This window comes from Homo sapiens, chromosome 1 (genome assembly GCF_000001405.40).
Source record: "Homo sapiens chromosome 1, GRCh38.p14 Primary Assembly".
NCBI lineage: Eukaryota > Metazoa > Chordata > Mammalia > Primates > Hominidae > Homo > Homo sapiens.
The window spans coordinates 50,817,255-50,830,197 of NC_000001.11; the positions used below are offsets into that span (position 1 = coordinate 50,817,255).

The 12,943-nt window shown below is 36.1% G+C and overlaps 1 protein-coding gene across 4 annotated transcripts in view, besides 1 other annotated feature; it reads right to left on the bottom strand.

The window, feature by feature from the left end:
• FAF1 (Fas associated factor 1) overlaps positions 1-12,943 on the bottom strand; it is a 523,240-nt gene that overhangs the window by 380,227 nt on the left and 130,070 nt on the right. The window lies entirely within an intron of this gene.
• Positions 12,389-12,589: a silencer, noted in NCBI's record as "peak217 fragment used in MPRA reporter construct". NCBI's record gives its function as "represses an SCP1 promoter by STARR-seq MPRAs in K562 erythroleukemia cells {active_cell/tissue: K562}" and the evidence as "EXISTENCE:reporter gene assay evidence [ECO:0000049][PMID:32103011]".

Here is a 12,943-nt window from a genome sequence, read left to right on the forward strand (position 1 = left end):
CAGACGGATAAGCAAAATGTAATATATCCATACAATGGAATATTATTCAGCGTTAAAAAGGAAGGAAATTCTGACGTGCTACAATATGGATGACCCCTGAAGATATTATACTAAGTGAAATAAGCCTGTCACAAAAGACAAATACTCTATGATTCCATTTACATGAGGTAATGAGAGTAGTCAAAATTATAGAGACAGACAGCAAAATGTTGGTTGCCAGAGGCTGGCTATACAAGTTAATGGGGAGTTACTGTTTAATGGGTACAGGGTTTCAGTTTTAAAAGATGAAAAGAGTTAGATGGGTGGTAGTGATGGTTGCATAAAATTATGAATATATTTAATGACACTGAACTGCAAACTTAAAATTGGTTAAGATGGTAAGTTTTATGTTATGTGTATTTTGTCACAATAAAAAAGATTTTAAAAAATTTAAACAGAAATAGAGATTCACTACTAACAGGCACAGGGTTTCTTTTGCTGGGGATGAAATGTCCTAAAATTAGATTATAGTGTTGGTTGCATAACCCTGTGAATATATTTAAAGAGTACAATTTACTCTTTAAATAGGTGAATTCCATGATACATGAATTATATCTCAATAAAGCTGTAAACAAAGAATATTTTATCTTTAATTCACAAAATATTTTCAATAGTACATATTCTGCAATAATAAAAGGCTCGAAAAAGGTAAATACTATATGATTCCACATATATGAAAACTCTAGAAAACAAAAATCTAATCTATAGTTAAACAAAACAGATCAAAAATTGCTTGAGGTGGGCAGAGAATGGACAGCAAGAAAATTTAAGGATAACTATGGTGTTAGTTACACAGGTGCACGTATCTGTCAAAACTTATCAAATTTTACAGTGGAAATGAGTTTATACATAAATTATACCTCAATGAAGTTAATTTTTAAAGAAGAACCACAAAAAATTCCATCTTAAACACACTAAAGTGCGTGAAATTAAAAAGACTATCAACACCAAATAATGGCAAGGATTTGGAACAAGTGGAACTCTCATACATTACTGGTGGGAATGTAAAATGGTGCAGCTACTTTGGAAACAGCATGGCAGTTTCATATAAAGCTAAATAAAACTCTCATATAAAGTTAAGCTGTATTCCCACAATTCCACTCTTAAGAATTTACCCAAAAGAAAAAATGTCTACCAAAGACCAGTATACAAATATTCGTACCGGATACAACCAAAATGTCCATCAACCAATGAATAAACAGATTGAAGAATATTCACACAAAAGAATGCCATTCAATAATCAAAATGAATTTCTTATACATGCAACAATATGGATAAATCTCTCAGACATTATGTTGAGTGAACAATGCCAGGTATAAGAGTGCATACTGTATGATTTCCTTCATACAGCTTGAGTCTCCCTTATCTAAAATGCTTGGGACCAGAATCATTTTGGATTTTGGATTTTTTCAGATTTTGGAATATGCGCAGACCCACAATAAGAAATCTTGGAGGCCAGGCGGGGGCCGGGAGGCAGAGCTTGCAGTGAGCTGAGATCGCGCCACTGCACTCCAGCCTGGGCGACAGAGCGAGACTCCATCCCCCCACCAAAAAAAAAAAAGAAATCTTGGAGATGGGACCCCAGTCTAAATACAAATTCATTTATGCTTCATATATATCTTATACACATAGTCTGAAGTTAATTTCATACAATATTTTAAATAATTTTTTGCATTAAACAAATTTTTGGCTTCATTTAGACTGTGACCCATCACATAAGGTCAAGGGCAAAATTTTCTACTTGTGGCATCATGTTGGCATTCAAAAAGTTTCAGATTGTGGAGCATTTTGGATTTCAGATATCCAGACTAGGGATGCTCAACCCGTATAGAGTTCTAGAATAGACAAGACTACTAACATGTGGTAATAAAAATTAGATCCGTGCTTGCCTAGAGTAGAGCTGGGGGTTACTAACCAAAAAAGAAATTTTCTGACATGATAGAAATCTTGATTGAGGGAGGGGGGATTGGCCACATGATATATATGTGTGCCAAAATTCATAGGGCTATCTACATTTAAAATCCGTATGTTTTACTATATGTAAATTGCAGTAGCGCACGCCTGTAATCCCAGCACTTTGGGAGATTGAGGAAGGGAGATCGAGTGAGCCTAGGGGTTTGAGACCAGCCTGGGCAATACAGCAAGACTCTGTCTGTAGAAAATTTAAAAATTAAAAAAAAAAAATTAGCTAGGCATGGTGGTACACACCTGTAATCCCAGCTACTTGAAAGGCTGAGGCAGAAGGATCACTTGAGCCCAGGAGTTCGAGACTGCAATAGCTATAATCACACCACCATACTCCAGCCTGGTCAACAGAGCAAGACTGACCGACTGACTGACTCACTCACACACACACACACACACACACACACACACTCTCTCTCTGTATATATATATACATATATATATACATATATATATACGTATATATATATACATATATATACATATATATATACATATATATATACGTATATATATATACATATATATACATATATATATATACATATATATATATATATAGTATTGTATACCAGCTATTGTATATCAGCTTCAGCACTTACTAGGAAATTTATTTATTTATATATGTAAATATATTTATATATTTATTAAATATAAATAAATATTTTTCCACTTTAATTGACAATTTCATGGAATGCTAGAAAAATGCAATCTCAGATGCATGTGTTGCCCCATTAGCTAGTATAGCAATCCATATGTCGTTTGTACGTGCACGGCATCCTTTCTCCTCCCCATGCCTTTTTATATGAGGTACTTAAAGTAGTTGAATTCACAGACACAGAAAGCACAATGGTGGTTACTAGGGGATGGGGTGGAGAGGGTAGGGAAGAGGGAATTGTTGCTTAATGAATATGGAGTTGCAGTTTTGCAAGATGAAAAAGTTCTGGAGATTTTTTTCACAACAATGTGAACATAGTTAATGTCAAGTATTCGTATTCTGATAGACCTGTTTTCAAATCCTGGTTCTAGCATGTATTTATTACCCATGTGATGTTGGTGATGTTTTTCTCCCCAGGCTTAATGGGGTATAACTGACAAATAAAAGTTGTGTATATTCAAGGTGTACAATGTGATGATTTGATATATGTATACACTGTGTAATGATTACCATAATCAAATTAAGCAACACATCCATAACTACACTTAGTTACCTTTTGTGTGCATGTGTGTGTGTGTCCATGTGTGACAAGGACACTTAAGATCTCCTCTCTTAGCAAATTTCGAGACGTAAACAATATAGTATTATTAGCTATGGTCACTATGCTGTACCTTAGATCCTCAGAATTTATTCATGTTACAACTGAAAGTTTGTACCCTTTGACCAACATCTCCCCATTTCCCAGCCCCTGGTAACCACCATTCTAACCTCTCTGTTGCTATGAGTTTGACACTTTTAGGTTCTACATGTAAGTGAGGTCACACAGATGTTGGTCTTTTTGTGTCTGGTTTATTTCACTTAGCATAATGTCTTCCAGCTTCTTCCATTTTGTATTTGGCAGGATTTCCTTCTTTTAATGGCTGAATAATAATGTGTGTGTGTGTGTGTGTACACATACCAGATTTTCTTTATCCATTCATTCATTGATGAACATTTAGGTTGTTTCCGTATGTTAGCTAATGTGAATAATGTTGCAATGAGCACAGGGCTTGGTCATGTTACTACTCTAAGATTTGTGGTTGGTGCAAAAGTAATTGCGGTTTTTGCCATTACTTTCAATGGCAAGAACCACAATTATTTCTGCACCAACCTAATAGTTTCTTCATCTATAAAATGGAGGAAATAATGCTGCCTGACACCACAAGGTTGTTATAAGAATCAAATGAAATAATACAGATAAAGTACTCTGTGTTAGCTGCCATAATTAGCTAACATCAATATGCAACTTTAAAAAAAATCTATTTTGTTGTGTGTTATATGCCAGTGGAGCATAAATATCTGCCTCACACTGGGCTAGAAATTCAGTTATATCAAACTCCTGCTTCCAGTGAGGTAGTATGGAATGAGTGCCAGAAATCATATTTTTTTACAGGCTCCTCAAATGATTCTGAGGCACAGCCACATTTGAGAAAAATTCAGATAGTTTTTAGCATACATATTAAAGGAACATAAAAAAACTTTTACTATGCCATACCATTCTTATTTCCCATGGGCCCTTTATTATTTCAGAAGTTAATGTCTAAAGGCATAGAGCCTTCATAAACTCATATATTATTAAATATGCTCAAAGTACTCGGGCTCTGGAGCCAGAAAGCTATTGTATACCAGCTCCAGCACTTACTAGGAGCATAATTTTGAGAAAGTTACTTAGTTTCTCTCTGCTTCAGTTTTCTCCTGGTAAAACGGAAGTGGATAACAATACCTGTTTATCAGGTTTTTATGAAACTTGCTAATACATCAAAAGTGCTTAAATAATGCTTGATACACAGAAAAGTACTCAATAAAGATGAACTGCTTTTACAGTAATTATTGTCATATTGATACCCTTTTTTAAAATCACAAATGGTTTTCAATCAAAATTTTTGAAGGCAAAGAATGAAAACACTATAAAGAAGTAGATTGCAGACAACTTATTTCTCAGATGTTTCCTCTTCATTTGTTAAATGGCCTACGGTCACCGAAATGCTCTATTGATTACAGATAAGATGAGGAGACCAAAGCAGAAGAAAAGTGGGTAGGTTAACAGCCCTACAACTTAAATTTTAAATTTCTTTTTATTAACCCTGCTGTATATTTTTGCAGTAGAAAAGAATTCCAACCGGCAATCCTAGATCAGATCCTAACAGCCAAATATTTTGTTTTAATAAGTTCTAATTTGATTTTTTTTCCAGGAGAAAAAAAGAAACCAGAATGCAGAACAATGTAAGAAATGTAACCATTCCACAATCTGTTTTTAGTCAAATGTAAAGAATGTTCACTGAACTCTTCCAAGTAGATATCACTATCAAAATAGCCCAACAGGCAGAATCAAGACTGGTCCAGACGAAATTAAACACAAGGGAATATGAGGCAGATCCTAAAACTAATGGTACCTTAAACAATTCACCTCTTGTCAAATTAACATCTATGAGTGAAAACCAAATAGCAGACTGGAAAAACTACAGGGCTAGGAACAAAAGGATTTGACAACCAAGATTTCATTTACTGAAACCAAAATAAAAGAAAGGTGTTTTGTGTGACAGTCACCTACTTCTCCTTCACAGGTCTTTGCCCCACTCTGGGTAACACAGTGATTAGACTTTAGTCAGCCTCACATAAACACCCACTCACCTCTCTTCCTTCTGCTCACTGTATAACTGCCTTCTCTATTCAATGAAATGTGGAGAGGAAAGGAAGATTGTCAACTAATAGTCCTTTCCCAGATTGAATTTGCGAGCTAAAACCTAAAAGCAACAGAAATGTCTAAAGGCTAGTAGTTTTTTTGGTGTTTTTTCTTTCTTTCTTTCTTTCTTTCTTTCTTTTTTTTTTTTTTTTTGAGACGCAGTTTCGCTCTTGTTGCCCAGGCTGGAGTGCAATGGCACGATCTCAGCTCACTGCAACCTCTGCCTCTCGGGTTCAAGCGATTCTCCTACCTCAGCCTCCTGAGAAGCTGGGGTTACAGGTGTGCACCACAACACCCAGCTAATTTTGTATTTTTAGTAGAGACAGGGTTTCTCCACGTTGGTGAGGCTGGTCTCCAACTTCCGACCTCAGGTGATCTGCCCGCCTCGGCCTCCCAAAGTGTTGGGATTGCAGGCTTGAGGCACCGTGCCCGGCCAAGGCTAGCAGTTTTAAGGGTTTATGAGTTAGACATCCCGCAGTATGCAAGGGAAGATTTTTGGATCGGATGGTTGAACAAAGCCATAAAGCTATATCTGCTTTATATTACAAGCAGCAGCAGAAGGAAAACACTCTTCCTTGTTAACAGCAACCCTGAATATAGCTGCCTACATTTTGAGGTTGTTGTACATTTAAAATCAATTTAATTCAGGAAAGTAGGTGGCAATTACTCGGTACAAAGAACTGTGCTGGGTATTGTGAATAATACATGGACAACACAGCCCCAAACCCTGGGGAACTAGAAGGAGGAATAAGATAAGCACAGAAGGAATAACATAAGCACATAAAATATCTACAATATTAAGCAGAATACAGCAAGTGTCTATACCTCATTAAATAGCAATTCCATTCTTCCATCTGGCCAGGTCAAAAATCTCACAGTTATCCTTGACTCCCTCTTCATCTCATTATCATCATTTTAGATCATAACAGTGAACATAAGGTAAAGTTCTTTTCCCAAAAATGTTCCAAAGAAAAGAGAAAACTACCTTACCAATGAGTTGTTCTACTTACTTTATTTTTGAAAACAATAAAAAAAAAAACTGGAAAAGACATACATCCTGAAAAACAACTTCAAGGAATATCGGTTTGGGACACTGAAAAGAGATTACCCAGCGAAAACAGTTAAAAAGAATGGCAAAGAAATTAAAAACAGATTTCATAATTATTTGGGGGGTACAGACTCACAATTAAAACTTTTAGATCCCAATATAAATAGTCCCATTAATGATCAATTGAAAGGGTTTCCTTGGAAAGCTCATGAATAGCAAATGATTACTTGTGACAGGAGATAAAAATTCCCAGGGAAGGTATTATACTTAGATTTTTAAAAAATGCTTTATTTAAAACCATGTAAGTAAAAATTAAAATCATGTGTTCTGGAAAATTATAAAGGAGACTAAATCTGGTAAAGAGAAAGGCTAATTTTAAAATGCATATGAAGAGTGTAAATAATGTCATTTCATAAAACAAGTATAAAAAATTTTCTAAAGTAATATATACTTTTAAATATGCATGTATGACTATTTTAACAAGCTAAATACAATAACTATTTCTTCTACTAGCTTAAAAGTTTATACATTCAAGTTAATTTATTTTAAAAGCATCTAGGCTTATCCATTCCAGTAGGCACCAAGCCCAATTCAAGTCTCTCCTCCATTACGTGAGCTTTCTCAATCATTCTCATCCTCTCTCAATTTTTACTGCCAAAACCTATTTGAAGATAGTTATTATACTGATCATTCATTTAGCACATACTATAGTCTGCCTTATAATAATGTTAATCCTTTTTCTCGCCTATATTTCTTCTTTGCATCAACCATAGCACTTAAAGTTGACTGATTAATGCGAAAAAAAAAGGAACACTTGTACATTGTGGGTGGGAATATAAATTAGTACAACTACTATGGAAAACAATATAGAGGTTCCTCAAAAAACTAAAGACAGATTTACTGTATGATGTAGCAATTCCACTGCAGGGTATACATCCAAAGAAGAGATAGTTGCACTCCTATGTTTATTGCAGCACTATTCACAACAGCCAAGATATGAAATCAACCTAAATGCCTATCAGTGGATGAAGAGATTTAAAAACATATGGTGCATATACACAATGGAATATGATTCAGCCTTAAAAGAGAATGAAATCATGTCATTTGAAGCAACATGGATAGAAATGAAGAACATTATATTAAGTGAAATAAGCCAGGTACAAGGAGACAAATTACATGTTCTCATTCATATGTCAGAGCTAAAAAAAATTTTATCTCATGAAAGTAGAGAGTAGAATGATGGGAGGGATAGGGGAGGTTGGGAAGGGTAGGAGAAAGGGGAGATAAGAGAGTTTAGTTAATTAGTATAAAAATACAGTTAGACAGAAGCAGTAATTTCTAGTATTCAATAACACAACAGAGTGACTATAGTTAACAATAATTTAGTGTGTATTTCAAAATAGCTAGAAGAGAAGATTTGGAATGCTCCCAACACAAAGAAATGATAAGTGTTTGAGGTGATGGATATCCTGATTACTGATTGTATCATTACACACTGTACACACGTATCAAAATACCACATGCAACCCATAAATATGTACATTATGTGTCAATTTCTTTAATTGGGGAGGAAAAGCCCAAAAATATTTCTGAGACAAACCTTAAATATAAAAACCTAAAAATGTTAAAATGAAGTTTGCAAAACTAGAAAAATAAATATCATGAAAATACTAACAAAAGTTTTGTATCTACTAACTATGCAACAAATATTACAAAGTCCTATGTAATACAAGACATAGGACTTTTAAGGCAAGAGGGAGGTCTTTTTCATAATGATAAAAGGGTCACTCTACCCAGAATATGTATCATCTCTAAATCTGTAGATACCTAATGAGCACATGATCAAAACAGAATTAAAAAAATAAATAGAAAACTCCATAATCATAGGGGAGATTTTAACGTATATCTACCAGTAATTGATAGAGAAGGGGAAAAAAACAAAATTCTTACTAAAGAATATAGAATACCTGAACACAAAAAAAACCCGACATAATAACAAAGATAACTGGATCTAACAAATCCAGACTAGGCATTCTTTTCATGTGTACAAAAAACATTTACCAAAATTTCAGTATGTATTGACCAATAAAGCAAATATCAATGAATTTCAAAGGACTGAAATCACATAGTACATTTTCTAAACAAAGTGGAGTTAAGCTAGAAAACAGTACTAAAAAGTTAAATAGAGAATGCTTCTATACTTGAAAATCAAGCAGTATACCTCAAAATAACTCTCAGGGTCAAAAAAGAAATTAAAACAAATTCCATATTTAAATTAATGTTTAATAATGAAAATACATGATGGCAAAACATACGATATGCATCTAAAGCCATGTTTGAGTGGAAATGTATAGCCTTAATGATACATATTAAGTATGAAGACTTCAAGAAATGATCTAAGCACTCATATCAATAAATTACAAAAATGAAAGCAAATTAAAACCAAAGAAAGAAGAATTTAAATGTAAAGATAAATACGAAAAATTTTAAAAAGAGTAAACAAATACTCTTTCTTGTGTGGAGAAAGCCACAAATATTCTCAAAAGTCCATAAAAAAGAATCCAGTAAAAACTGGATCTTTAAGCTGGGCACAGTGGCTCATGCCTGTAATCCCAGCACTTTTGGAGGCTGAAGCGGGTGGATCACTTGAGATCTGGAGTTCAAGACCAGCTTAGCCAACATGGTGAAACCCCGTCTCTACTAAAATACAAAAATTAGCTGGGCACAGTGGCACACACCTGTCATCCCAGCTACTCAGGAGGCCAAGGCAGGAGAATCACTTGCACCTGGGAGGCAGAGATTGCAGTGAGCTAAGATCGTGCCACTGCACTGGAGCCACCTGGGAGAGAGTGAGACTCCGTCTCAAAAAAAAAAAAAAAATGGATCTTTATTAAGACTACTAAAATTAATACACCCTTGGCCATAGTCAAGAAAAAGAGGCAGTGGATCCACATGTTCAGTATTAGAAATAAAAGAGGAAAGTCTGTACAAATCCCACAGATATTTAAAAGATCATAAAAGAATATTATGAACTTTATGCCAATAAATATGAAAATTTAGATAGACAAACTCTTAACAAAATACAACCTGTGAAGACATAAGAAAAAATAGAAAAATCAGTTTAGTCTTATATCTACTAAAGATACCAAATCTTTAATTAAAAACCTTCTCACAAAAAAATTCCAGACACCGTCTGGGAAGTGAGGAGCGCCTCTGCCCAGCCGCCCCGTCTGGGAAGTGAGGAGCGCCTGTGCCCGGCCGCCCCGTCTGGGAGGTGAGGAGTGCCTCTGCCCGGCCGCCCATCGTCTGGGATGTGAGGAGTGCCTCTGCCCGGCCGCCCCGTCTGGGAGGTGAGGAGCGCCTCTGCCCAGCCACCCCGTCTGGGAGGTGAGGAGCGCCTCTGCCCGGCCACCCCATCTGGGAGGTGTACCCAACAGCTCCAAAGAGACAGCAACCATCGAGAATGGGCCATGATGACGATGGCGGTTTTGTCAAAAAGAAAAGGGGGAAATGTGGGGAAAAGAAAGAGAGATCAGATTGTTACTTTGTCTGTGTAGAAAGAAGTAGACATAGGAGACTCCATTTTGTTCTGTACTAAGAAAAATTCTTCTGCCTTGGGAGGCTGTTAATCTATAACCTTACCCCCAACTCCGTGCCCTCTGAAACATGTGCTGTGTCAACTCAGGGTTAAATGGATTAAGGGTGGTGCAAGATGTGCTTTGTTAAACAGATGCTTGAAGGCAGCATGCTCCTTAAGAGTCATCACCACTCCCTAATCTCAAGTACCCAGGGTCACAAACACTGCGGAAGGCCGCAGGGACCTCTGCCTAGGAAAACCAGAGACCTTTGTTCACGTGTTTATCTGCTGACCTTCTCTCCACTATTATCCTATGACCCTGCCACATCCCCCTCTCCGAGAAACACCCAAGAATGATCAATAAATACTAAAAAATAAATAAATAAATAAATAAATAAATTCCAGACACAGCTTCACTAATGAATTCCACCAAACATACCTAAAGATTATTTAAAGAATACCTAAATACGTAAATAAAATATCTGAATAAAAATATCTAACGAATATCTTAAAAATACCTAAACCAATATCAAAAGAAAAATGTACATAATTACGACAGAGAGCCTAAAAGAGTACTAAGAGATAAACAAAGACAAGTTCAATAAATGGAAGGATATTCTATGTTCATAGATTTGAAGACTTTATACTGTAAATATGTTAATTCTTCCCAGATTCATCTTCAAATCTGATATGATCTCAATTACAATCCTGGAATATTTTTTGAGGAAATTGATAACTTGACTGTAAATATATGTGAAGATACAAAGACCCAAGAATATCCAAGACCATCTTAGTAAAGAAAAAGTTCAAAGACCTACACTACCAGGTTATCAAGACTTTTAATAAATAAAACAGGGTAGTACTGAATGAAGCAAGTATAGACAAATAAACAAATATAAAAGACTAGAGAATTCAGAAACAGTCCCATACAGGTAGGAATACTTGATTTATGACAAAGATGGCACTGCAGAGAAGTAGGGAAAAAAGGGTCTTTTCTTTTTTTTTTTTTTTCTTTCTTTTTTTGAGACGGAGTCTCAGTCTGTCACCCAGGCTGGAGTGCAGTGGCACGATCTTGGCTCACTGCAAGCTCCACCTCCTGGGTTCACGCCATTCTCCTGCCTCAGCCTCCCAAGCAGTTGGGACTACAGGCGCCCGCCACCACGTCCGGCTAATTTTTTGTATTTTTTAGTAGAGACGGGGTTTCACTGTGTTAACCAGGATGTTTTCGATCTCCTGACCTCGTGATCTGCCCACCTTGGCCTTCCAAAGTGCTGGGATTACAGGCCTGAGCCACCGCGCCCGGCCAAGAAGGGTCTTTTCAATAAATGATGGTTAAATGGATACCCCATGAGAAAAACAAAACAAACTTCAGGCTCTCTTATACCAACACAAAATTAACTTTCGATAAATTACGACATTAAATATAAAAGGTAAAAACAATGCTTCTAAAAGAAACGCAGGAAAACATCTTCATGAGCTGAAGGTGGACAGGTTTCTTTGAAAACAGGATCCAAAAGAACAAAATCAATAAAGGAAAGAATAAACTGAACTACACTAAAATTAGTTATTCTTGCTTATTAAAGACTCATTAAAAGGGCAAAAACACAAGCCACAGAATAGATGATGATCTCTGCAACACACAACAAAAAGCTTCTATCCAGAAAATATAAAAAACTCTTGTAAATCAACAGGAAAAAGACACACAGTTCAACAGAAAAGAAAAAGATTTGAATAGGCACTCACAAGACAGCATCCCCAAATGGCTATTAATAATCTGGGAAGTATAATTTAAAACCACAATGAAATGCCTCTAAGCTCAAAATAATGGATTAAAAGCTAAAAAGGCTGACAGGTAGTGAGTGGCAAGAATGTAGAGCAACTGGAACTCTCAAACTCTGCCAGTAGAGAGTAGGAGATAGGTTGTACTGACAACCACTTTCATGAAAGCAGTAATGTGATATAATCATAGTGTGGTGAGGGGTGGGTAAGGGAGAGGCATTCCTGTGAGGAGCTGTATTTTAAAATCAAAGCAGATGATGGTACCAGGCCAAATTGAAGGGTCTGTTGTGTGGTGGGGTAAAATAAACAAAAAAGGCATTATCCTTCCATTTCTTTTTTAATGAGATCTCACAGTTTTGCTTTCACAGTATCACCTACTATGAATACAGAATGTACTGTAAACTATAAATCAATTCACCCCCAACAAAGTGACCTCTCATTAGAGTCTAACCTCAACAGTGTTGACAACCATCTGCTGCCTTCCTTAACACATTCCACAAAAGGAAAACAGGCATGTGTGCCAAAGTAGGAAGCTGAGACTGCAACTCAGGATTAAAGGCAGTCAAAGGTAACACCCCTTCCCAAAAGTCCATTTCTCTTTCAGAGCTTTCTGTACTTAGTGGAAACATCAGGAAAACAAGAAACTACCTACACACCCTTCTCTTTTTTCCTATTCCACTTGTTTCTTCTAAATCTGGACAGCTGACATTATATCCTGTAACTGAGTTGCCAATTATTGACAAATCAAGAGCCAGCATTCCAGTTGTTTAAACGTCATGAGCCAAACTGCTTTTGCAAGTGAGAAGAATAAGAAAAATATCATTGTAAATCAAAAAGCACTACTAGTTTGAAAGAAATTGTGAGGTTACAAAAGAAATAATGGTTTGGTAATTAGAATCTGGCATGCAGGTACCACCTAAACCTTGTTGTCTTGCTATGTCCCTTTTAGGTTCAGGTGGGCTGATGGAAGAGAACTGCATCTACATCAGAGACATCTAGATTAACACAGTATGTCTAACTCTCTCTTCATGACCCCCAAGGTATCATTCTTGCTTCTTTTTGTTTTTGTTTTTTGGGTCTTTTTGGTTTTTTTGAGACAGAGTCTTGCTGTGTTGCCCAAGGTGGAGTGCAGTGGCATGATCTTGGCTCACTGCA